This window comes from Homo sapiens, chromosome 2 (assembly GCF_000001405.40).
Source record: "Homo sapiens chromosome 2, GRCh38.p14 Primary Assembly".
NCBI lineage: Eukaryota > Metazoa > Chordata > Mammalia > Primates > Hominidae > Homo > Homo sapiens.
In genome coordinates, this window is record NC_000002.12 from 26,501,086 (window position 1) to 26,526,144 (window position 25,059).

General features: G+C 52.9%; 1 protein-coding gene across 2 annotated transcripts in view, besides 4 other annotated features; it reads right to left on the reverse strand.

Moving 5' to 3' along the window:
- OTOF (otoferlin) overlaps positions 1–25,059 on the reverse strand; it is a 101,554-nt gene that overhangs the window by 43,883 nt on the left and 32,612 nt on the right. For both annotated transcript variants that reach the window (NM_001287489.2, NM_194248.3), the window contains exons 4-8: positions 17,925–18,024; positions 15,333–15,514; positions 2,687–2,760; positions 1,215–1,341; positions 669–723 (exon numbers count right to left, since the gene is read on the reverse strand). In NM_001287489.2, the coding sequence (NP_001274418.1) occupies positions 669–723; positions 1,215–1,341; positions 2,687–2,760; positions 15,333–15,514; positions 17,925–18,024 (538 nt within the window). The remainder of the gene's footprint in view (positions 1–668; positions 724–1,214; positions 1,342–2,686; positions 2,761–15,332; positions 15,515–17,924; positions 18,025–25,059) is intronic.
- Positions 2,625–2,754: a silencer, noted in NCBI's record as "silent region_11274". NCBI's record gives its function as "represses an Ori minimal core promoter by ATAC-STARR-seq in GM12878 lymphoblastoid cells {active_cell/tissue: GM12878}" and the evidence as "EXISTENCE:reporter gene assay evidence [ECO:0000049][PMID:35858748]".
- Positions 4,551–5,051: an enhancer, noted in NCBI's record as "H3K4me1 hESC enhancer chr2:26728504-26729004 (GRCh37/hg19 assembly coordinates)". NCBI's record gives its function as "activates a minimal SCP1, AML or CMV promoter by ChIP-STARR-seq in naive H9 embryonic stem cells {active_cell/tissue: H9 hESC(naive)}" and the evidence as "EXISTENCE:reporter gene assay evidence [ECO:0000049][PMID:30033119]".
- Positions 10,264–11,187: an enhancer, noted in NCBI's record as "H3K4me1 hESC enhancer chr2:26734217-26735140 (GRCh37/hg19 assembly coordinates)". NCBI's record gives its function as "activates a minimal SCP1, AML or CMV promoter by ChIP-STARR-seq in naive H9 embryonic stem cells {active_cell/tissue: H9 hESC(naive)}" and the evidence as "EXISTENCE:reporter gene assay evidence [ECO:0000049][PMID:30033119]".
- Positions 20,210–20,375: a silencer, noted in NCBI's record as "fragment chr2:26744163-26744328 (GRCh37/hg19 assembly coordinates)". NCBI's record gives its function as "represses an EF-1alpha promoter that drives an FKBP-Casp9 reporter gene in an ReSE screen in phorbol 12-myristate 13-acetate-treated (for megakaryocytic differentiation) K562 erythroleukemia cells {active_cell/tissue: K562(+PMA)}" and the evidence as "EXISTENCE:reporter gene assay evidence [ECO:0000049][PMID:32094911]".

Sequence of the window (25,059 nt, forward strand, 5' to 3'; positions counted from 1 at the left end):
ATGGAGGGTCCCTGGGCCCTTCCTGAGAGATGGTGTCCCAGCAGCCACCAGACATGCTCATCACCTGTCCTGCCTGCACTGTTGGCCACATTCACATTCTTACAGCTGTCAACCTCTCTTTGTCTCAGTCTTTTGTCTCTGGTCTTAGAAGCACACAAATAAAAAAGTTGTGTTAATCTCAGAAAATACAGAGAAGCAAAAAGAAGAAAAAAATCACTCACAGTCTCACCATCCAGAGATAAACAGAATCGTCATTACTTCCAGCAATCAAATAATACAAAACAACAATTTAAAAATCATGCCAGGAAAACTTTCTTCAAAGGCCCTTATTTTAACTGTTTGAATACTTTTTTGTAGTTCTTGGTCTCTTTATGGTTTTTCTAGGTGCTTCTCACTTTATGAAGTCCAATACTGAACATGAAATACTGGAAGGGCTTTGATTAGCATAGGCAGAGTTCTCAAGCTTTTCTTTGGGTTTGTATCTCTCTACTGATGATACTTCTAGGAATGCCTCCCAGGAACAAGCTTACTTTGGGAACTTATATTCAGCTTGTTGTTCTCTATGACCCCTGGATCCATGCCTCAGTATAGTGGATAATGCACATCCGGCTAGAATCCCCCACTAGAGCAGAGTCTGAAAGACATGAGGCCTCCAGGTGCCCACCTACCTGGTAATCCATGGGCCGCCCAGCACTTGGCTCCATCTTAATGTCTGGCTTAGATCTGAGGAAGAGAATGTACCATCAGGCCTGGGGTATGGGGACTGCTTGTTGGGGAGGAGGACACTGGCAGTGGTTAGACCTGGGAGTGGGCAGAGGGACAGAATCATGGTCTTTAAACACTCAAGCACTGCCAAGAATAGTGAGGATTAGTTGTCTTCAGAGGCCTCAACACAGAGAACTAATCAAAGGCAGAAGTAACAGAGAGACAGACATGGGGTCAATAGGTTCAAATATGGGGTGGGCAGGTCTGTGGCTTCCTTGGGCTGGGAGGTATTCAAGGACCTGAGAACAGGCCTGCAGCTGCTGTGCTCTGCTTTTGCAGGGAGAGAGGTGAGAAAAACACCCAAGGAAAAGCAGAAAAGGGTAAGGTTAGGTTAGGAAGAAGCCGTCCATGAGCCCTGATTCTTCCCTACCCAAATTCCAATCATGGCAAGCCAGGTCCTGCCTGACAGGGTGGGGGCAGCTGGGGTTGCAGGGCTCCCGTCCACTCACCGCTTGTTGGAGACATTAGTGGTGAGAGCTGTGACTGAGGCTAGAGACACCGAGTCGGGATCCAGTCCATCTCCTAGCCGAATGGCCAGATGGTCAAGGTCTTCCATCTCCAGCACCGCCGGTTCATCTGGGGAAGATGAAAGACTGGTTAGGTGGGCTGACTGATGGTGAGATAGTGACCATTTCTCCTTTTACTCTGGCATCCAGAAAGCTGAGAGTTAAATTCGAGGTTTACTTAGTTGCTACCGCTTAGAATATTATGGCCTGAATAACTGCAGTGTTTTTCTACCTAATCCCGATCTTGGATTTGAATGGCCATTATGTCTGGTCTTGCCTTTTTATTTTAATTGAATGCTCTTTTATTGTATACCACTTACTTAGGCACTGAATATCTCTTATGGAAGAAGGTAGGGAATAAAGAATCCATACTTTTGCACCTCTCAATAAATAGCTACCATTTGTTGGGTGGATACTCTCTGTTCCAGGCACAACACCAGGACTTTACATGACTATCTCTAGTCCTTAGAGCTGTGCCCTGCCAAGATGGGCGTTATTCTCATGTCACAGGTACAGAAACGAAGGCTTAGGAAGTAACTTATCCATATCAAACAGCTGATGGAATTCAGAACCTAATGCATTGGTGTGTATTCATCTAATGAGATGCAGACATGTGGATTCCGAACAGCCACCCAAGGATGCTGGGTTTGGTCCTCAGCCAGCAGCTGTACTCTCTCCATTTAAGAAGGTGAAGGGCACGGCTGGAATTGGCATGGGGGCAAGAGGGTGGGGGAGAGAGCCTGAGGGCCAGTAGGCCACAGAGGGGATGCTGGGGGAGGGCAGCCGGGAGCCCCGATGGTGGGCCCGTGATGGAGAAGATGGCCCCCTCCCAGCTCCCCTGTCCTCTCCATTTCTCCCCTTGTCTTCCTCCAGGCCTCCCGCCTCCTCTGCAGCAGCTGTCTTCCCCTCTCCAGTCGCTCCTCCGGGAGGGCCCAGTGCCACCTGCTGCTCCAGCCTCCCAGGCCCGGCCCTGCCGCGCCCTCCAGCGGCCCCAGGACCTCCCCAAAGGCCAGGCTGCAGCCTGGTGAGAGCGCTTGGGCGAGGCCTGCCGCCGACCCCGTACTAGTGGGACAACGGTTTCCCCCCAGAAATAGGGAGTTGGCCAAACAGCGTTTCTTGATGGATATTCTCTGCTCTAATTAAAACACTGGGCTTCTGCGTGAAGAAGGAAGAACCGGGAGCAACGAGGGCGGGAGGAGCCTTGTAACCAGGCACCCCCGACAGAGGGCGCTGCCCGTTTCCCTCCCTCGGCCCTAGGGCGTCTCCTTCCTAGAGGGCCACGCATCACTGGGTGGGGCCTGGCCCTGGGACGACCTATCCCAGGAGGGCCTTTTGGCAGCCGGGCAGGGGCTGGAAAGCGGCGGGAGGGCGCCGCGAGGCGCGGGGCTGCGGGGCTCACGCGGCACCTGTCCTACCTGGTCTTTGGGGCTCCTCCTTGTGAGACCGGTTTTTGCCGAGCTTCATGGCGGAGAACACGCTCCTCCCGGCTCTGTGAGGGGGGCCACCAGAATGAGGTGCAGGGAGAGGGACGCATGGAGGAAAACACACAAACACAGAAGAGCCAAACATGAGAGAACACATCAGAGAAGGGAGATGGACCCGGCCCCTCACCTACTGGTCCCGAGACAGATCGGGATCTGTCTTCCCAAATTGGGAGCCAGGAGGGGGAATCAGGGCAGTGAGAGACCCCTCCACTTCCGCCTTTGCCATCCTTTCACACACGGAGGAGAGGGATGGGGTCCCCAGCAAGCAGGGAACGTGGTCTTGAGCCGGAAAGAGCCGTTTTAACTGGAGCTCCTCTGGGTCTTGGACTTTTCAGTCTGATCCCAGCCCCTCAGTCTAGTCTCCTCAGAGCTCCGAGCCCTGCCAGTGTCCCCACGCTCATCCTCCCCGGCTCAGCTGGTTGGAGAGAAAGCCCGAGGACTGGAGACAGAGCATCAGAACGGCGGGGCAGGGACCAGAGAGGACTCAGGGGCAGAGGCCGATGAGGAGATGGGAGATGTGGTTGAAACGAGCTGTTCAGTTCTCAGATGGCCCTGGTGCTCAAAGCCTGACTTGTCTTTCTCCAACCTCTCCGTGTTCTGGGATGCTCCTTGGTCCCCATGAAAAAGGGGGAGATAGGCCCTTTCCCATCTATCTTCGGTCCTGGATTTTGCCCCTTCTACCTGTCCCCTCTCACTGCCAAATTCCCCTTTCCCCCAACCCCAGGAACTTATGGCAGGCTCCATAGTTCCTACCTCTTCCTCTGGCTTGCTGCGACCTTGTGCCCCCAGGTGAAGGGCCTTGCAGTCAGCGGGGCTGAGGAAAAGGGGCAGGGGTCCTCACTGTCCTTCAGTGATGTCCCTGCAGCCGAGCCTGTGGTTCCTGGCACCAGGAAGCCCCAGGAGCAGGATCAGCAGAGGGTAAAGTGCAGTGTTCCATTACCCCATCCATATTGCATGAGTGGATACCTGACTCTCTCCACTTCCCGTTCTCCCTCCTCCTGGGTATGGCCCCATCATCCTGTAGGTCCAGGTGGAGCCAGGTGTAGGCTCCAACCTGGAGCTCGCTTACAGCAGAGTCCACCCTTTTTGGGTCACACATCTCCCTGTGGAGGCTTGACTATGGTTTCTAAGACCCCAGATCCTTGTTCTTTATGCTGGGCAATAGGAGGTTGGGGAAAACCTTTCTGTCCTCAGGCAGATGACCTAGAAACCTCAAGCCCCTCTCCTCAGGATTGTGGGGCCAATCTTATTCCCCAAACCTGGCCCTATCCCAACCCCAGGACCTTTCTTTACTGTTCATATGCAGGACAAAGCACGTTCATATCCCAGTGAGGGAGCAATTGAGAATCACCCTTTTCACGTGGCAGCAGCTCACAATTTAGGGAACATTAGCATGTTCTTTGAATTCCTAAAAAGGAATGGAAGAAGGCTGATGTGTCTGCACTCTTCAGTAGCATACCATCTGAAATACGACAATGAGAAGAAAGGGAAAGAAAGAGGCTCTAAAATCAAAGCTGATGCCTTTGGAATTATTTTCAAAAGCTTCCTCCCTTCTGATGGGGGAGGTGAGTTACACACACACACACACACACACAGACACACACACACACACATACAGGCCAAAAAGAGACTACATAGGGCCAAAGGCCTTTCTAGATGTCTGCAATGTCTGCAGATGTCTGCTCATTTCATCTTCCTGGCAATCCTCTGAGGGCCACATACTTCTCCTCATTCAACCAATAAAAAGACTGAGGCTCAGAGAGGGGACAATAATCGCGAGGTCACACGGTGAGTGGCAGAACTGGGATTGAAGCAGAAAGCTCCTGTGTTCTAGGCCAGCAATATTTTTACTGCATCTCAGGTCCTTTGCCTCGATGCCGTAGGACTGCACTTTTCTGTGGGCAAGAATCCCATCCATTCCTGACCATTTGGGATTTTAGCTAAAAGGCCCCAGGGCTGGCACCCATAGGTACAGGTATGGTCTGTGTGCCAGCATAGTTTACAGATCAGGATGCTGTCATCTGTGGAATCTCACAGATCATACCCATGTTTACAAAGAAGGGGCTCATTCAAAAAGAACCTGAGCACCCAAACATTTGGGAAGGGACTGCTGTGCATGTTAAATTGCTGGTGACATAACATTGAACAGATCAATGAACCCACCAGAAATAATCGTGTGATGGTGGGGAAAGGACCACCCTGGCTGGCTTGCCCTGAAGCATCCTGTGGGATTTTGCCCCACCTGCTGGCCCCAAGGACAGGGGTGCTGGCTGTCCTGACCCCTGCCATAGGCCCAGCTTCAGAAGTGTAGTTTTTGTGGGCCTCCTCGTGGGTCACTTCCTGTCTCAGTGCTTGGGATTCCTTTTTGCCCAGCCGTGCTGCTCAACTATGTCTCTCCTGAATTACCCAGGAGTCTCCTGCAGGGCTCAGCGTTTGACTTTGCACCATTACTTCTTGGCCATTCCTAGGCTGTGTTATTCTTGGAGTCCTTGGCCCTTCCGCATGTGTGACCTACATAGTTAGCCTTTGCCATTGCAGCCTGCTCCAGCCACAGACTTCCCTCTCCCCTGCCCCTTCCCCACTTCCCCAGAGGGGAAGTGCTCTGAGATGGTAGGTTAGAAGCAGGCCCTGCCTGGAGAAGCCGGCTGCCCGGCCTGCTGGGATGGGATCTGGCCCTGCTGCCTGAGTCCCGGGGGGAGTGCAAGGTAGCAAGAAATAGTGGCTTTCAGAGGCTGGTCCCATGGACTCACCCAGGTGGAAAAGGACCTGAGGCATCCCTGGGGCACTTATGGCCCTTGAATTTGAAAGTCACTTTATTTCTTAACACAAACAGATTTGAAAGAAATGATTGAGGCTTTAAAAAACTATACTTGTCCTGGTCCGGTGCGGTGACTCACACCTGTAATCCCAGCACTTTGGGAGGCCGAGGCAGGTGGATCACTTGAGGTCAGGAGTTCAAGACCAGCCTGGTCAACATGGTGAAACCCCGTCTCTACTAAAATTAGCTGGGTGTGGTGGCACATGCCTGTAATCCCAGTTACTCGGGAGGCTGAGGCAGGAGAATCGCTTGAACTAGGAGGCGGAGGTTGCAGTGAGCCACGATCGCACCACTGCACTCCAGCCTGGGCGACAGAGTGAGACTCTGTCTCAAACAAACACACAAACAAAAACTATACTTGTCCAACTATCTCTACTACACCTTGAAGCAATTGAAAGGAGAAATCTCTCCCTTCCAACCCTGCATAGTTTTAGCTGTCTGAAGTGGTAGTACTGGTAGCACTCCTGTGTGCCTGGGAATATCTCAAAAGGATATTGTCTTTGTCCCTTTATTAAAAATGCAGAAATGTGTAGTGAAGGATGTAATTTCCAGAATTCTTACTACAGGCTCTGTACCTCTGATTCTCCTAGACTTGCTCTTCAATGAATCTGAATTGTGATCAGTACAGCATGATGTCATCACTGCCACTAGCCTTTGTAATTTTCTGATCAGTAACACATCAGAAGTTCACTATAGAAAAAGCCTTTCTGCCTGATTGCAGCACCAGTTCCCAGAAAGCAGTATGCCTACTTCTCTTGGCAAACTGTAAAGGAGAGTTTTGAAATAAATGTCAACTTAATCAGGGAATTTTGAAGATTATCTATTTGTCTGAAAGACTTAGATTTCAAAAAATGTAATTTGCTGTTGAGGTGTCCGTTGTCCTGGCCTTTTTTTGTTTTCAAAGTAAAATTCTGCATTTGGTCTAGTTGAGTTCTACAATTACCAAAAACAGGATATGGTGAGAAACAGACAAAGAAAACAAGCCAATAATCAACTCAGTGAAAACTCACTTTACAATCAAATGGCTCCTTATTCTTGGGCGTATTAAAGCTTGAGAAGTGAGAGCCAAGGGGAGGCCAGTATCCCAGGACCCTCTGAGGATTTAGAATCCGTTTGAGTTTCCTGTGGCTACATTCACCATGGTCAGAATGAAATGCACCTACAATCTAGACTGGTATTTATCTCTAGAGGAAAAAAATGCTAAAATTAGTTCACTTATTGTAAACTATAAATCTGATGATTTCTCCGCTCATTTTATGGCCCAGATTTAGAAGCGTGTTGCTGTGTGGTGCACACAGGGTCCTAGGTAGAGCTTAGTATTCATAATGACTTGGGAACATTCACCAAACTAAATTTAGTGACCCGAGTGTTTCATTAATTCAGGTCTCTGGATTATTCTGAAAGCTAATAGAGACCTGACCATAAATGAGCTGCAGGTCGAGTCCATTCACTGCCCAGGGCTTCTGCCCCATGACTGGCTTCAACTGGAACTACTAGGCTCATTAGCTCAGGCCTCAGGTAATCAATCAGGATAAAGACTCCTGTCTATGAGAAATAGGGTCTGTGGTCCTTCTTTGCATTGCTCAAACAGCCCAATTTTCAAAACCTCGGAGCATGTTATCCAAGCGCCCCTAAATGGGTTTATTTTAAAAATTTTCCATGCCCCAAGGCACAGGGAATTTCATAATTTTGGTCTTTACAGGTGTCTTTGAAAGTGTGTTGAATGTCAGTTAGTTTTTGAATAGCTTTCCATAGGTGGGCAGGATAGGCTGACCCTTTATACAAGAACCACCCTGTCTCCAAACTGGCCCGTTTGCACATGTGCCCACGTTGTACCAGAAGGCTTGGGGGACCCACACACACTTGTCCTGACCCCAGGATTGTCAGGGAAGCTGGCTCTTCAGTTCTTGCTGGCGGCCCAGCCCTTTGCAAGGCTCAAGCAAGCAGCATCATGGAAGATGATGGGTGTTTTCTCATCTCCCCAAACCAGCCTATCCCAGAATGTCACACACTATGAGTTCTTTCGTGGGTTGAATCTTGTTTCTCTACTTCAACTTAACTTCAACTTAAATTTATTTCCATTTATCTCTTCTCAGTGGAGATAGATACCAACCAGCTTTGCCACACATTAACATTTCAGAGATTGAAATCTGTCTCCACAGTTTTCTCTCCTCCAGGCTAAAGAGTTTAAATTTGTTCAATCTCTTCTTAGAAATCTCATTTTCCTATTCTTTCAATAGTCCTATTGCTCTACACATAATAATAATAACAATACTATATGCCAGTTTACTTTATCTCATGTGCTAATTAGAGATGGTAAGAAATTAGGACAGAGAAGTGCTAGGAAACCAGTATTTTGGTGGACCTACTATGTGCTGGCACTGTGAGGTACCTCTTACTCCAACTGTAGCCAGTCAAAGGGATCAGGCCAGTCTGTGTCCCTGTGGGTCTGGCCTGGGACAGACTGGGAAGCTGGGCATCAAGAAGGGCCTTAGAGCATCGCTGATCTCAGGCAGAGAAGCTGGGGATGGACAGGCTGCTTGTATCTCATTCATATGCCCTTTACATCTAAGCATCTATGGAGAAACCTGAACCCTTGAGGACTCCCTAAGAGGACTCCCCAGCTCAGCATTCCCCATCATCGCCACCCACCCTGGATTCAGTTCCCTGGCTCTGAGCCTTGACACATGCTCTGCCTACGTGTCTTCCCTTACTGGGAACCTGGCAAACTCCTCCATCCTTCAGGTCTCTGGGCTGGAGCTCTTCCTACACAGCGCCATTTCCTCCATCACTACAGAGTTAACACTGCATCATCATTGCTTTTGCTTGTGCGTAACAAATGCGAGTTAGAACTCATACCTTTTTTTGAAGCAATGAATGAGGCTGTGAGTTCCCCAGGATCTTAATGCCAGTGGATATCCCAAGCCCACACCAGTGTTGATCAGTTCAGACCCCTCAACACACAATCCTGATATTTCCATGATATCTTCAGATGAACTAATTCTTAATATATTGAGGCCACAGTTTTGAGCAAATCTCTTAAGATCTCTGGGGCTCAGGTTGCTTATCTGGAAGATAAAAAAGACCACACTCCTGGCTTTTCAGCTCTCATTGGTATGTTTGGAGAATTAGATTAAATTTAGATACAGTCAAGTTCTCTAAATTTCCTGGGTCTATGGTGAGCTCTGGGTCAGAAGTCAGCTTCCCTGTCTTCTGGTTCCAGCTCTGCCCCTGTTCTGAGACAGATTTGTCATCTGTAAGAGCAGGTGTTAACCAGAGGCCTCCTCCAGTATGGTCCACCTTGGCTACCACTGCCCTTATGAGATCCCGTAATGCTAGAGTCCTCCAGATGTCAGTGTGCTTCTAGGGGTGCCTACAAGACCCATTCACAACTCCCAGCCTTCGAATCTTTCCAGACCCTTGTGACCAGCCCCTCCCACCTGCAGGACCCTTCTCCTGTCCTCTCCAGACAGCACCCTGACCTCATTTTTCCAGGAAGCCTTTTGGGGAGATGAAGATAGAGAGGGCCGCCCAAATGGTGGCCTCTCCTAAGCTTTCTGGGGGTCTCCAACTCCACCCACGACCTGCAGCTGCAAAGGGTACCCAGAGTTCCTCCTCCTTATGCCTCCAGCTGCCTGGCCCTACCTCGCCCCTGTTGGGAGAGGGATCCCTGAGGTCCTCATGCCCCTCTCCCCTTAGCCTTTAGCTGTCCCCTCCCTCCCAGGGAAGCCCGAAGGCCACAGGATGGGGGCTGAACAGTGGAGGAGGAACAAGACACGGAGAGGAGGATGGTCACCCCCGAGAGCCCAGAGTGGAAACCAGAAGGTCTGGCCACCTCCCCCGCGACCCTAACCCCTCCTCATCCCTCACCCCCGTGGCCAGGTGAAAAGGCCTCCCTGGGCCTCCATGACCCGTGCCAGCTCTACCACGACAGCCCACTCCTGAGCCCTCTCAGCCGAGCCCATCCCGCCCTCCACAGCCTGTGGGGAGGAGGCCTCTGTCTCCCCAGAGACGCTGTTGCGTCTGCCCTCGCCTGGGACACCTACTTGTGCTCGTCATCTCTGCCTCCCTTGGTCTTCTCTCTGCCTTTGCTGAGTAGGGGGAAGAAATGAGGAGACAAGGGGACACGTGTGAGGGGCTGTGGACCAGAGACACTGGCCTCAGCCCCGGCCCCACGGGCCTGCACGCTCCCCGGGGGCCTCCTTGTCCCACAGACCTCTCACCCCACAGCTTCGCACGGTAGCAAGCCTAGGTCTGCAGAAAAGGGGTCCCATGGCCCTGGGTTCTGCCTTGGGGGAGATGGGAGGGGCCCACAGTGCTGGGCCTGGGTGGCCACTATTCCAACCCCAAGCTCTGATACCTCAGGGCCTCAGCTCATCGCCCCTACCAGGCTAAGATCTGATGATTCCACAATGTGGGTCGCAGCTTCCTCAGGGAACACAGGGTTAGATGAGCCTGGCCACCCTCCCGGCCTGGGCCACCCTGCTCCTCTGCCCACCGGCTCCCCTGCTCCCCTGCTCCCCTCCAATGGGGTGGGAGCTCCCAGGCTCTGGGGGCCTCTAGGGGAACAGTGGGCTAAGCCTGCTCTGTGAGGGTGAGGCAGGGCTGGGGGTCCTGCTATGGAGTGCACACGGGTGGTTGGGGGCAGTTCTAGGGGTGTAGGTGGGGCGGTAAGTGAGCTACCACTCCAGGGCTCAGAGCAGGGAAAAACGGCCCCCCTATCTCACTTTAGGGAGGCTTCCAGAAAACTTTTCTGGAATGTTCTCTCAATGCTTTCCCAGTGCTGTGGCAATGAGGATGAAGACAGGAAAGTGAATAACAATTAGCAAATTATTCCTCTCCTCACACCCTGTTCTGGCACAGGCCTTGCCCAGGTAGACTTGACTGCATATCCTGATGGCTCAAGACCTGAAGGCCTAGACACAGCACAGCTGCAGTCCAGCGCTGGCCAGCTAACCTTTACGTTGGGCAAGCAGGTCAGTCTGTAATTCAAAGGTGTTAACATCAGCCAGGCCTCGGCTGCCCACATCAGCTGAGACTACTAAGCGGAGAAGAGCTCACAGCATAGGAGGAGGAATGTGTCTCAAGCACAAAATCCCAGTGCGCCCGGCTGCCCCGGCTCATCTGAGCAGCTTTGGGAGCTGCTGCAACTCTGGGGCTCAGCCTGGAGAAGGAAGGCAGCAGAGGATTTTCTAGCTCTCTAGGGGCTGTGGAAACCGATTTAAAAACACTCTTGGGGTAAGGCTGCATGTACTGGCCCCACATGCACACACTTCTGCATGCCCACTCTCTGCCCCTCTGTCTCAGAGCCCCACCATGCACACGTGCCCCACTGCCCTCTGGCCCCAGCATAGGAGGAAGTTACCTGGCTTCTGCAGGCCTCCACTGGAGTGGAAGAATGATCAATAAGGAGAATGAGAAAAGTGGCTCCTGCCCCAAACTCCTCCCAGATGAGACCCAGCAGAGAGGAGACCAGCAGAAGAGGGTTTGGGCAGCAGAAGGAGGTGGGGGTCGTGGAGGGCAGGAGAGCCAGGCCAGGTGGAGAAAATGAGAAGAGGAGATAGTCGCAGAATACTGGGACTCAGGAGGAAAGGCTCAGGTCTCTACAGTTTAGCTGCAAGACTAAAGCTGGGATTTCTTTCTTTGTCCTCTCTAAGATGTGACTCCTAAAGACAGCATCAACAGCAGAGCCCAGAATCCAGAGTCCTCCCTGGTGTCATGCAGTGCATGTGAGTGTGTGCAAACACATGGGCACTTGTGTACACATGTGTGTGCATGTGAGTGTGGTCAGGGCCGAAGTCACTTTCTCTCCAGAGACTAGGGCAGGCATACGCTGCCATGCAAGGGTCTGGAACACTGATTTTGTGCTGCTGAGAGTGGAGCGCCCATGAGGTTAGGGATTCATTACATCTCTGCAACACTGAGAGCCTGGGGAGGTGAGGGGAACTTTGAGTAAATGAGCTCCCTATACCTGCCCCTGGGCCAGTAAGGCTCCTGTGTGGGCAGCTTCTGCAGAGCCCTTGGTATAGGGTGGGGAGCAAGAGCTGAGAAGGTGCTTGGACAGCACCTGAACAAGAGGGTCAGGTGCTGCTCGGGGTAGAAGTTGACATCAGGGTAACATGGAGTCAGTGAAGAGGAAGGAAGTGAACACTGGCTGAGCACCTGCCACATGCCAGGCACAGGGGTGGATGACTCGCAGGTGCACCTCACTCAATCCTGGCACTTCTGTGAGGCATCCTTGAGCCCCATCTCACAAATGGGGAGGGGGGTTCCCAATAGCAGAGCTGTGAGTGGAGCCTGTGCTCTGTCACACAGCACAGCTTCCTGGCACATTACCGGGGGCATTGTGCAAAAAGCCGGCAGAAATCAGGGCTTCGTGGCAGGAACTAGAGAAGTGGGCAGAGTGGCTCAGAGGGCATGCGGCTGACCAGGGCCTAGGGGAGGTGGAATCGTTGGGGCAGAGAGTCAGTGGGCGGTGGGGTTGGTGGTCATTCAGGCAGAGCCCCCATACTGATTCCCTGAGGAGGAACGGGGTAACTTCATGGCAGATTCTTAGGGTCTTAGGAGTGAGTGTCACAGCAGCTGAGGCCTGAGGTCCACACTGCCCCTGCTTAGAACCATCTGACCCCCAGAGTGAGGACAGGATGAATGTGGGTGAAGTCCCAGAGAAGCAGGCCAGGCAGGGCAGGGCTGGGGGGTGGACCCAGGCCCTGGAGGGAGAGGTGAGGAGTGCCCAGAGGATCTCCTGGCATCAGCCTCCCCTCCATCCGTGGAAGATTCCAGCCTGGGCTGCCCGGGGCCTGTCTGGGCTGAGGCTGTTTCCTGCCCACTCAGTCTACCTCCCCGCAGCCCCCAGCAGGCCTTCATTTCACCCCATCAGCCAGGGAGCGGCTGATCCCCACGCCGGACCCTAACGGTCAAGATGGCCGGTGAGACACTGCTGCTTGCCAGCAACGGGATTTTCCTCTTGCTCATTGTGGCTAAAGCAGGAACAAGAGGGAACTGTGGTTATTGAATACCCTGATCTATAAGGGGATTGGCCTTCCCAGGAGAGGATGGAGGGCAGGGAGCAGATGCAGGGGAAGCCTGCCTGGGCTCCTAACGGGGTCAGAGGTGAGGCACTGACACCCCTTCCCCGGTGTTGTCCTCTTTAAGGAGTAGGTGTTTTCCTGATAAAAGGTTGGCCAAGTCCCTTCTGGAGAGCTCTCTGGCTTCCTCCCAGAACCCACACTATGTGACAAGGGTGAGATGCAACATCTAGGGCTGCGGGGCCAGCTTCCAGGTCCCCCTCCTCACCTCAGCACTCCTTGACCCAGAACTCAATGGCCCCATATGGGCAGCCAGGATTAAGCTACAGGAAAACCCCAAGTTCTTGAACCCGCTCCACCTTCTCCTCACCAGCAAATGGCCCATCTCTAGAATTTTTCTCAACCCCTCTTTTCCACAACCAGGCCTGCTGGCTGCATGGCTAGGCCTGGCGGGAGAAGGTGTAGCAGCGATGCCTGTCCCCAATGTGCTCTCAAACCTGGGCTGGCAGCCCCAGTGGCAGCAGGGAAACTGTGCTCCTGCACACTGCCCCTGCAATGCAGGGTGGGGGTGCCTGGCTTCGGCTGTCACCCTCTCCCAATTCCCAGTCCGGGGTGAAGCCCCTCCTTTTGCTCCCGCTTCTTGCTGCTACCCTGGGAGGGGCCACACGAAGATGGGGAGAGGTGGGGAAGCCACCAGGCTGTGAGGAAGGGTCGGGGGAGCCCTCTTATCTCCAGATTCCTGGTGCCTAGGGCTCTCTGGGACTCTAAGCTCTCCAGAGCCCCCATCAGCACCCTGGCCCACTCTCTTAGGACTGAGTGAGAAACTGGCTCTGTGTTGCTACGCCACCCCAGGGAGGTTGCCTTCGTGGCTGCTAAGGGCTCCCAGGATGTTGTTTCCCATGGATGTGACCCACAGGTCCGGAGCATCCATGGGTCCCTTAGGACCTCAGAGTTGGAGGGGAGCCAGATGTAACTTGCTGAACCCATTCCTGTCACTGACCTACAGGGGCTGGTGACATGCCCAGTGTCACTCAGCCAATGAGTGGCACAGTCAAGATGGGACTTAATGGGCCTTAGCTCTCCTGATTTGGGGTCAGCATTCCTTTCCCTGTGACTGATGGCCCTTGTGTGGCTTCCGATCTTGTTCTCTGGAAGCTCTTTCTTAGAGCCCGGCTTCTGGTTTCTGGACCAGCCCTGCCAACCTCTTTTCTGAATGGAGACAGTCGAGGAGGACCAGGTGGTGCCCACTGAGTCAGCATCCCTTCACTCCCCGTCTGAGCACTGCTCCTCTTCTCACAATTTCCAACCCGATTCCTGACTCTTTGCATTGTTGTGCTACAAGAAACCTGTTTGTCTGTCACCAGCCTGGACATGGGCAGCGCTCAGCACCTCCATTGCCACCTGTTCCTCTGTGATCCCTCCGGCTCTCCCAGCAGCAGGGCAGGGGGATTTCCTTGCTATGTCCTTCTTTGCAGGTGAGGAGAGAGGGTCAGAGACTTGCCAAGGGTCACACGACTAGTAAGAGGCAGAGCTAGGACTCAGGCCTGGGTTTTCTGCTAAAGAGCCAGGAGTCTGAGGGGACAGGCTTTAAGCTAGCCTGGGGCTGCCCCATGCCCGTGGCTGGCCTGGAGTAGACAGTCCCGCCATGTTTGTTGCAGGCCTGGTCACTTTGACCTTGTTACTATTACTCATCTGGCTCCCAGGGTTTCTGAAGCTTGTGTGTGTGTGTGTATGTGTATGTGCACACGTGTGCACTCATGCACCTGTGTGTGAGGGGTGCTTAAGGGGGTGTGAACTCATTCAAGTGCAAAGGAGAAAACATATTTGTCCCATAAAAGTATGTCAGTTCAATTACACTAATTTAGAACCTATGGTTTCTTCAGCAGAGGGACTGAGTAAACTTTACTTGGAAAGGAAAGCGTGGAAGGAGCTTACAGGGATATGTTTCCAGTGGCACGGAGGGTCCCTTCTCAAAACACACCCTGGTCCTTCAGATGCACCCTTGACTTACTGGCATTTAACACATAATTCCTAGTGACTTAGGAACCCATGGACAACATCTTACTAGACTAGCCCAGATTCTGTCCCCTTGGTCTCTAATAGTAATACAATTGCATTTTCTGTTTTGTAAAAATAGTGCACGTGGAATGAGCTGTCCTGGATCCAGCTTCCTGTGATCCATAGGTGGCAGGACACTTGCAGGGCGTGACGCTGGATTCTGGGGGTTCCCGGGTACCCTCCCTTCTCAAGAGGAAGAAAGGCCAGGGCCCAGCCAGGATCTTTGGCTTCACTCTGGCAGGAAGAGCTGCCCTCTCTTGGGCCTCCTCACTGGGCCAGGGTAGAGGTCAGGCTGCCGGCACCTGGTGGACACTGCTGGGTCTTGAACCAGAGAGGCCAGGGGCCCTCCTATCCCCAACTCCCCTTCTCTGAGAAAGGCAGGAGATCTAGCCCCATCCCTGTGTTAGAGCTCCACCTCCCTCAGGGCCACTGGGGAGGCCTTGGCCTTGCAGCTCCATCTGAGTCTCCTGCTCCCTGCCCAGTGACCTCGGGGGTGGACGGCTGGGTGGGGGGCTACAGAAACATCTTCCCACCCCTTGGATGTCTCTCCAGAAGCTCAGCCCTGTACTCTGAGCCCAGCTAGGCCTAGAGAGGCCTGTCAGTAGGACCAGGCCCCAGGTCTCTTCCCCGTGTCTTGGGAGCAGTGGGCAGCCAGAGGGGTCCTGCCTGTTACCTCCGGAAGCTCTTCTCTCCTGGGGGCCGGGAGCTGGGCCGGGAGCCTGGGAGCAGTCCATCCGTCTCTTGGCTGTCCTTCTCTTCCTCTTGAAGAGACTCATCTCCCAGGAAGTCCCCATCGTCCCAGGAGCCCACTGTGCCGTCAGTGGCCTGATACCGGACCTCCACGCACAGGCTGGTCTGAAGGGAGGGAGGCGGTGGTGAGCAGCTGGGATGGTGACAGCAATCTCCACCCCGTATATGTGGCTGCTTGGTGGTGTTTACACAGCGCTTCCACACCCTTGCCTCACTGGAGGAGGTCAGGATGGTATGATCCCCTCTGCCCCATTTTGCTGATGAGAAAACAGAGGCTCTGAAAGGCTGACTTGTGCAGACCGGGTCAGCTTACTGGTACCTGGCTCCAGGTCCCGCTGCTGGTGGTTCCACTCCTCCCTGGTGCTCAAGGTGGAGGGGCCTGGCCTGCCCAGGACAACTGAGCCTGGACTCACCCCCCGAGTCCACTGTCTACATAACCGAGAGTGTCGTTCAGCATCCCCATGATCAGGCCACCTCCTCTCCTCAGAACAAGGGCTGCCTGCAGGCATGAGGCGCGGCCCGCCAGAAATCGGCTTGTTGGAAATGGACAGAATGAGCTGAAAGTGGCCTCCGGGAGAGGAGCCCAGGGCCCAGGCTCACACTCACCCTTCCTACCCTGGAGAGGGAGGGAATCTTGGGAGCTGCCCTAGGGTTTTCCTCTGGCAAAAAGTAGAGCACTCAACCGGGCTCAGGCTTAGCAGTGGAGAGTCATGATTGGGCTTCCTGCTCTGCGTCCTGGAGCCATTACTTTCTTGCAGCTCTAGTTTCCCCCCCAGTGCACAGGGATCACCCTTCCTCACTGGTCTAGAGGTGACTTGGTCCTGTGCCCCAGACAGGCGGCCCTCACTCAGTGCTTGGATGCTCCAGCACCCAGGCTTAGATTTCCCAAGGGAAGGGAAAGGTGCACATATTTTCTGAATCCTCACTGTGCTAGGCATCATGCTAAGATGCTTTAATGTACACTCATTTGATCTTTTCAACATTGCAACCTACCTTACCTAGCATATCAGGAGGTTAAGTTACTTGCTTTAAGTCACACAGCTAGGAAGTACTGGAGCTGGGATCTGAGCCCAGGCTGCCTAACTCCAAGCCCCATGTCCTTTCTGGAACAAATGGGACCCTCTTGGTGGAACCAAGTATGTTGTTATGGGAAAATGGTGGTCTCTGGCATTGGAAGTCCTGGGTCTCCGTGCTGGCCCTGCTGTCAACTGTGGCCGAATCCATTCCCCATCCAGGACTTCATTGTTCCCATTCATAACAATGGGTAGCGGAGATGGGTGGCAAGTGGGCTAGGAGATCCGTGAGTCCTTTCCTCTGCTGACATCTTAAGTCTGATTCTGAAAATCCAGGGCATGGGCTGTGCTGTCTGTCCATCCCTGCTCACTCCCCAATTCTCTTATCTCACTTCCCACACTACACTCTTCATCCAGGTTTCTGTGTTCTCCTCCCAGCCCGCCTTCCCATGGGTGTCCATACATAGCTTATTCTGCACCCCTTCTCCCCTTGCTGTGGTGGCTGAGACCCCGGTAACTTTAAGAAGCCCTCCCTGCCACCCCTGCCCATGGGAGAAGAGGGTTCCTTCTGTTCTAGCTCCCTGTGGCTGCAGTCCTGGCTTCTGAGGCTGTTTCTCTTGGCCACTACATAGGGCCATATATTACACAGGACCCCACTGGGGGACCATGGCACAGTCCCATTTTATACATAGGTAAACTGAGGTCAGGAAATAATAGCTAACAATATTATAGATTTATTGTGCATATCTGTGCTAAGTACTTTCTGTGTATTGTCCTTTAATCCTCAGAATAGTCCTGGGAGGTGGATAATGTAATTGTGCTCACTTTGAGGTGATATGTAGCTTGCCTAAGTCACACAGTTAGTGAGCAGCCTAAGATTCATACTCAGGGTCCCTGTTCCTCACCATCATGCCAACTGCCCATGAGTGGCCACGGCTGAGCTCAAGAGGACTGAAGAATCAGAGCAGAGCCTGGGGCCAGGCTGTCCTGGTAGGGTTGCTTCCTTCTTTGTTAGAACATGTGTCAGGTGCCTCTAGACTGTGCATCACTAGTGCACGCGTGCTCACGCAAAAGTGCTGGGATGTGACAAACAATAGGAAATGAGGTCCCTGCCCTCCCAGGGAGGACCCGAGCCAGATGTGCAGAGTGAAGGTCATGCCCTCGAGTGCCAGCAGGGCTCAGTCTGGCCTTTGGATGACAAAAGGAGCCTCTTTAGTGACTCCTGAGCTGGGTCCAAATGGAAGGACCAGTTGGTGCATTCCCACCGTAGGAAGGGCAGGGGTGCCTACTGTGGGGCAGCAGACCCTGCCATGCCACAGGGCCTCCAGCCATGGCCACAGATTGAGCCATTCCAGCAGAGTCTGACCTGAGTCTCCTCCTCCTGCGACACCTCGCCATGCATGAGAGGCATTCCCCAGACCACCCCATGTGTGAGGCAGGGAGAACAGACCCCCAGATGGCCCCATATGGGAAAGTCCAGGAACTCCGTGGGGCATACCCACCTTGATGATAGCATTGTTGTCATCAATCAGCGTGTCAGTCACCTCCACATGGCTCTCCTCTACCACCTTCTGCAGCACCATGCGGAAGGTCCCGATGAGCCTGGGGATGGCAGAGGGGGCACGGTGGTAACATGGAAGAGACCAGGGTGAGGAGCAAGACTGACATCCCAAGGGCTGTGACTGCTTGGGGAGGACTCAGGTGGGCTTGCTCCAGCTCTGGGCTGGGCTGGAGAAGGTGGCCCAGGAGCCAGGACTGGTTGCAGCCAGGGCAGCATGTCCCACTGTGGATGGTTGTTTGTGGGAGGCCCATTTCCTTGGGAGAGCTCCAAGGGGCAGTGAGCACCCTTAGGGGATGTCTACAGACTGCGGGGAAAGGTGCATGAAATCCAGCTTTAGCTGAGCCCTTGCAGAGAAGCTTCCAGATGCTCAGTGTGGAGGCTGGGAAAGGACCTGAGTTTCCTGGATGGACAAGTAGCTCCTCCGGCTTCTACCCGCCTAACCATGACCAAGGTTTCCAGCCCACACCAACAGCACTCACTCATCCATTCCACATCTGCAGCCTGTAAGTTCCTGGATGGCAGGAACCTGTGTGATGGCAGAGCCCATGGAACTGCACAGCAGGGGAGAGGCGGTGCAATGCTTTGGTTAACAGCACAGTCCTGGCATCAAAGAGACAGGGATCTGAACCCAGCTCTGACACTGACTAGCAAGCTACCTGCTTCCTGGGCAACTTCCTTAAGCTCTCTCAGTGTCGGTTTTCTCATAAGATGAGCTGATAAGCCCTACTTCACAGAGTTGTTGTTGGAGGACTGAATGAGATCATCTGCGAGTGTTCTTGTCAAAGCCCCCAGCACACAGCCAGCACTCCAAAGCAGTCCGTTTTGTCGTGATTCATGTACTGCCTCTAAACTGTGAACCTCTCAAGGGCATGGGTGGTGCTTTTTATTCTAGCCTCTGTTTGACATTTCTAGCACACTAGAGATCTCAATATCTGCTGGCTGAATTAATGAACAACAGTGGGTGCCCAATAAATGCTGATGGAGTTGACTTCAACCCCATTGCACCCCACAGTCAGAAGGCTGTTTGTTGCTCTGGGAGAGAACAGGGAACTCAGACAGACGTTCTTACATGGTGCTTCCACATAGAGTGGATTAGAATACACACACCATTTCTAGCTGAAGGCACAAAGGGGAGGGAAGCATCCAGGGCGTGTGAGAGCTGGAAGGGACCTTGGGCATCATCTGATGCTGCCTGAGATTTATAGAGGAAGACAGTGAGGCCATGGAAGGGGAAGGGACACAGCTAATTAATGGTAGATCTGGGTGAGGTGAGGTATCAGATGAATTCTGACTCAGACATGCTTCATGTCTCTACCACCCTGAGGTCTGTGGAGGGTGAACATTGATTTTTTAAAAATCTTCCCATCTGTGTGAGGGGAGGAAGTGGTAGGGGCAGCCATGAGGAATGGATATGAAATGCTCCCCTTTGGAGCTCAGAGCCCCAACCACCATTGTGCCCCACCTCCCTGAGGATGAAACTGACCACGCCACTCCTTCACTCTAAAGCCGAACTGGGCTTCTGGGCCCTTAGAGCAGCCCATGGAAGCCTTCTTCCATAGCTGCATGCACCTCTCCCAGCTCAGGCAGTGCCCCAGAGACAGAAGTGCTGGGCTGGGGGCCAGGAGCCCTGGAGCTGCTGCCCCTGAGTCTCAATTTGGTCTTTATAAAATGAAGAGGGAAGGGGACTTTTAGCTTCCGTACCATGTAGACATTCTAACAGTAGACCACGGGCACGAAAAAATACACTCATCTTTTTGCAGCCTCACCCCTTTTTGTTCTAAATCAGTGGTTCTCAAACTTCAGCATGAGCAGAATCACCTGGAGGGCTTGTGAAAACATGCACGGCTGGGATATCCTCTTCTGTGGATATGCTGGAAAATGTGTCACTGGTGGGAGAGGAGAGGTGCTCATCTGTAGCATTTGCTGGTTTCTGAGATATAAATACTCCCGCCATGGCCAACTTCAAGCTTCTAATGTGAAGTCACCAAACTGGGTCCACCGGACTTCAGTTCACACCACTGGCCCCGACCCCAGGGCTCTGATTCAGTGGGTGGGAGAGGGCCTGAGAATGTGTATTTCTGACAAGTTTCCAGGTGATGCTGAAGCTGCTGGCTGGGGAGACACTTTGAGAATCCCTGCTCTACTATTACCCTTTGTGGATGGCTATTCAGCTGCCTTGATTCCCCTAGGACCTGTCGAGCACCTGTTGAGCGTGGGGCGATCAGGCACATCTTTCTCCAGAATTAGATGCCTAAGAACAGCCAAGGCAGCTCCCCAGGATCCGCAGAGGTGCTGCAATGTGACAAGACACTCCCAGGGGGCAGGGTGGAGCTATTCCCCCTGCAAGTGCTCACAGAGGCGTCTGGTGCCTTCTAGGCTTAACCTGCCTGAATCTCAGATCTTATACTTGGGAAGAACCTGAGAGACCTTGTCCAGCGCCCCTTCCAGGAGGAATCCCTGAAACAACCTCCCTGACATGTGCTTTTAAGTCCCTGCTAGATACTCCGGTGGTGGTGACAGTGATGGGGCTGTCACTGGTAGTCCATTCAGCCACTGCCTTAATCACACAGTGTGCTGAGCAAGATTGGCCTCCAGGCAAATCCCCTACTCTTCCTACCCTGGTCCAAGCCCTGTCCACATGCAGATTAATTCCATCCCTAAAGGGAAGCGGTGTAGACAGTGAGGAGCCTGGGCTCTGGAGTCAGACAGATGTGGGCTCACTCAGCAGGACCCAAGGGAGATTCCACCTCCTGGCAGCAGTGTGGTTTTGGCTCCTTCTGCTATAGCCCTCCGACTTCCACCGGACAGTGGTGAGGAGACTGCTCATGTGAAATTCCTCTACCAACACCGGCACTCGGATGCCAGCCCCTCCTCCCTCCCTAATAATGAGCAGGGCTGGCCATCTGGAGAGCCTACACAGGGCGAGTCTCCTTTGCAGGATGGGCTTCAGGGGCAGGTCCAGGCAGTCCCCCACCCTTCAAGCTGTGCACAGCCTCGCACAGCCAGAGCTTGTCTATGGCCTGGAGGGTGGGACTGGGACGCTAGGAGCTTGCAAGATTAAAGGAATCAATTTGCCACACCTCCAAGAGTGGCTTGGGGGGTTTTAACTCCTAACAGTTCACCCCCCAACCTCTCTCAAATAAAAGTAAAAATTATATTTTTTGACATGGACAATTGATATTATCTCAGCCTTATGTAAAGTATAAAGAAAAGCAGTTTTATAAACCTTGACTCTTTCTACAGGTCTGTAACATACCATTTAAGCAAAAACACAGTGCTTGCCATGAAAACAGTTTCAAAACAAAGGCCCTGGCACTGCTTCTAGGATGCCATCCCTCAGCCCGTCTTCTATAGATATTCTTTGGGAAGAAGCTGGGACAGGAAGAGGTAGGAGAAGCCCCTGGCTCTGGCCCTTGTGGTGACCCCAGAGGCGACCCTGCCCGCCGCAGCTGGCCTTTGTGCATCCTGGCTGCACACATAGTAGGTTCTTACTCCTCTGCATGGGTCAGCATGGAGGAGCTGCCTGGGAGAGTGGGGCCCAGGACGATTGAGGAAGGGTGGGCTCATATGCTCCTTAGACAGCTGAGTCATTTCCCTAGAAATGGAGTTGTGAGGCCATGTGTTCTGTGGGAAGGAGCACTGGCCCGGGTGTCAGGAGGCCTGGGGTGAAGACCTGACTGTCCTGAACCTGCTGTGTGACCCTGGACAAGAGGCCTCTCTGGGCCTCAGTTTCCCTGGGGCTGTCAGGCAAAGGATCTGGGGCTAACTCCATGTCCTCTGACTACTTGCCTTACAGGGCCATCCAGGTCACCATGGCAAAGAGGACACCCCTCACAGGAGGCTGTCTGGCCCCACGAGGGGCTGGGCGGCTGGGCAGAGCTAAGATCCCCACGTAATTAGCCGGCAGGAAAAGGCCTCCAGCCCAGATGGGCCCACAGACTGATCACAATAGAGCGGCAACTGGGCACCAGAATCCTGTCAATAATTCATCACTTTCCCCTGGGAGCCCGTGTCAGGTGTCCTGGGCCCTGCGAGGCCTCTCCTGCTGTCCTGGCTCCTGAATTATTCAGGGTCCCTGGCATCCTTAGCAGGCAGGAGGCTGGAGGCCAGGCCATGGACCCTCAGAGGTCCCGGACAGGCAGAGCTGGATGCACAAAATCTTCTGAACCGAACATTTCTTTCTCATGGGGAAGCCCAAGGTTCCTGGACACAGGTCTTTGTTCCAAACGGGGCCAAGCAGACCTGGAGGTCTCCTGGTTTCTGCCTAGGATGCCTCCTTCCTTCATACCATGTCTCTGCCTCCTGGCAGCCTCTAGAACCACTGGGTGAGGGGCCAGTTTCCAAGCTACTCTCTGCTTCTAGGACAAGTCTCTCTCTCTGAGATGGCAGTGATGGGATCAGGCTCATTTCTCGTCCTGGGACCCACTCTCCCAGGCAGCTCCTCCATGCCTCTTTTAGCTCAATTTCCCCAAATGCATCGGTCATGTGATGCTGAGTGTCACCCTTGAGTGCCCTGAGTCCTTCAGAGAAGAGGGGCCACTCCGATTCCCTCTCAAAGGCTCTCCCACCTTGTATACCTACCCTCTGCCTCCTAACACCACAGGGGCATTTATTCATTCTTTTATTCCACAAAATAATCAGGAGCCTGCCATGTGCCAGGCACTGTCCCCAGCAGTGGCCATGGCTTTGCTCATTGCTAAGCCTAGTGCAGACCCCAAAGACCCCTTCCACTCAGCTGCCCCATGAGAAGGAGCCTGGGGTCTGAACTGGGCCATGTGGGGGTTGAGGGCAGTGGCCTCATTGCTCCTCTGGCCTGGCCCAGGCAAATGCCAGGATGGGGAGACTTGAGTCTCACATCATTCCAAACACCTCTCTCCCACTCTGACCCCCACAAGCTGGCCTGTGTCAGCCTGGGCCTGTGCTCTCCACAAGGGGACCTCTTCTTTCCCATCTCAGCTCTGCAGCCAGCAGTGCCCTGGGCATTCTCTAGGCTTCCAAAGAAATGCCAGAACCTCTCCCACCAGGCCTGGGCCTCCCCTTGTGGGGTTTCCTGCCTTCTCTTGGATGGGGGCAGGGAGGGAAGAAGAGGAGAGTTAGGATAGGAACTATTCCCCTTTCTGTCTTCCTTCTTATTGGCACTTAAGAACATCTAATACAGGCTGGATTTGGTGGCTGGCACCTGTAATCCCAGCACTTTGGGAAGCTGAGGCAGGTCTATTACCTGAAGCCAGGAGTTCGAGACCATCCTGGCCAACATGGGGAAAACCCTGTCTCTACTAAAAATACAAAAATTATCCAGGCCTGGTGGCATGCACCTGTAGTCCCAGCTACTCGGGAGGCCAAGACATGAGAATCACTTGAACTCAGGAGGCAGAGGTTGCAATGAGCCGAGACTAGGCCACTGCACTCCAGCCTGGGTGACAGAGTGAGATTCTGTCTCTGAACAAAACAAAAACCAAAAACACCTAATAGAAGCTGTAACTTTCAACATATTCACTGCATGGGAGTCAATTTCCCGATTTCCCAAATACTTCTGATTTGTTTGTAGCAGTCTTTTGATGGGCTCAAGTGTTTCCAGCATTTCAGTGGTTAGGCTGGTGGCTTTCATTATAAATGATTTAACAATGTCTTCCATGCCCTCAGTTTCCACCATCACTGCTCAAATATTTTGGTTTCTGGGAGTTGGATTAGGAAGAGAAGTTAACAGACATGCATTCTAGCCCTGGCTCTACCATTGTCTACCCATGTGACCTCAGGTTCCCCTCTGAGACTTGGTTTCCCCTCCTGCACAGCTAGGGCTGTAGTGGCTGAGCTGTAAAGCTCCTGGATGCTTTGGCACCTATGGTTGGGTTCCTTCAGGGGCTCTCAGGTGCCCTCCCTGGTGCTTGACTTCCGATTCTCCTTCCTTTTTCACACCCACTTGGTCTGTGTGTGAGCCTTCCACTTGTTCCTGTTTCTCCTGTCCTCATAGGTCACACCCTCATGGTATCTCACCCCAGGGAAGAAGGCTCTGCTTCACCTTGGGGGCCCCTGGTGGGGGGTGTCTCACCAACCTTGCTTGTGGGTGCCAAAAGCAGCTGCCTGAATGGTGTGATGCCATGAGAGGCAAAGGGAAGGCCTTTGTGCACTAAACATCCTCCCTGTGGCCCTGACAGCATTTCTGAAATGCCCTTGCCCCATACTCAGCTGAGATTTTGAAAGCTCCTAATAAAACCCACAGAATCAGAGACTCCTTGGAGCCCATATGGTGGGGCCTTTCCTGACTCAGAAATCCCCTCTACAATGTGGTCCACTCTTTGCTCACCCTCTCCCAGTGGCAAGGAGCTCACTACCTCCTAAGACAGCACATTGGCTGGAAAATACTGGCTATCTTTCAGTTGTCTGCTGTCTTCCAGCAGCCTGTTCCTCATCCTGCCTCTAGGTACACACCTTTCTTTCCTCTTCCTGTGGCAAAAAGCCTTCTGGGAGGGTAGGGGCAGGGACTGTGCCTCAATACCTCATCTCAGTATCTCCAGTGACTAGCATAGTGTCTGACTGGCAGAAAGCATTTGTTCACTATATGTATGATGAGTGACTGCAAAGTTGGGTGAAAAGATGGATGGATGGATGAATGGATGGAAGAATGAAAGGATGGATGAATGGATGGAAGGAAGGATGATGGATGGAAGGATGGATGAAAGAATGAAAGAATGGATGGATCGATAGATGGATCAGTGAATGGAAAGATAGAAGGATGGGCCAAAAGTGGTGGCTCACGCCTGTAATCCCAGCACTTTGGGAGGCCGAGGAGGGTAGATCACTTGAGGTCAGGAGTTCGATACCAACCTGGCCAACATGGTGAAACCCCATCTCTACTAAAAATACAAAAATTAGCTGGGCACGGTGGTGAGCACCTCTAATCCCAGCTACTCAGGAGGCTGATACAGGATAATTGCTTGAACCAGAGAGGCGGAGGTTGCAGTGAGCCGAGATCAGGCCACTGCACTCCACTGTGGGCCACAGAGCAAGACTCTGTCTCAAAAAAAAAAAAAAAAAAAAGGAAAAGAAAAAAGGTGGAAGGATGGATGAATGGATGG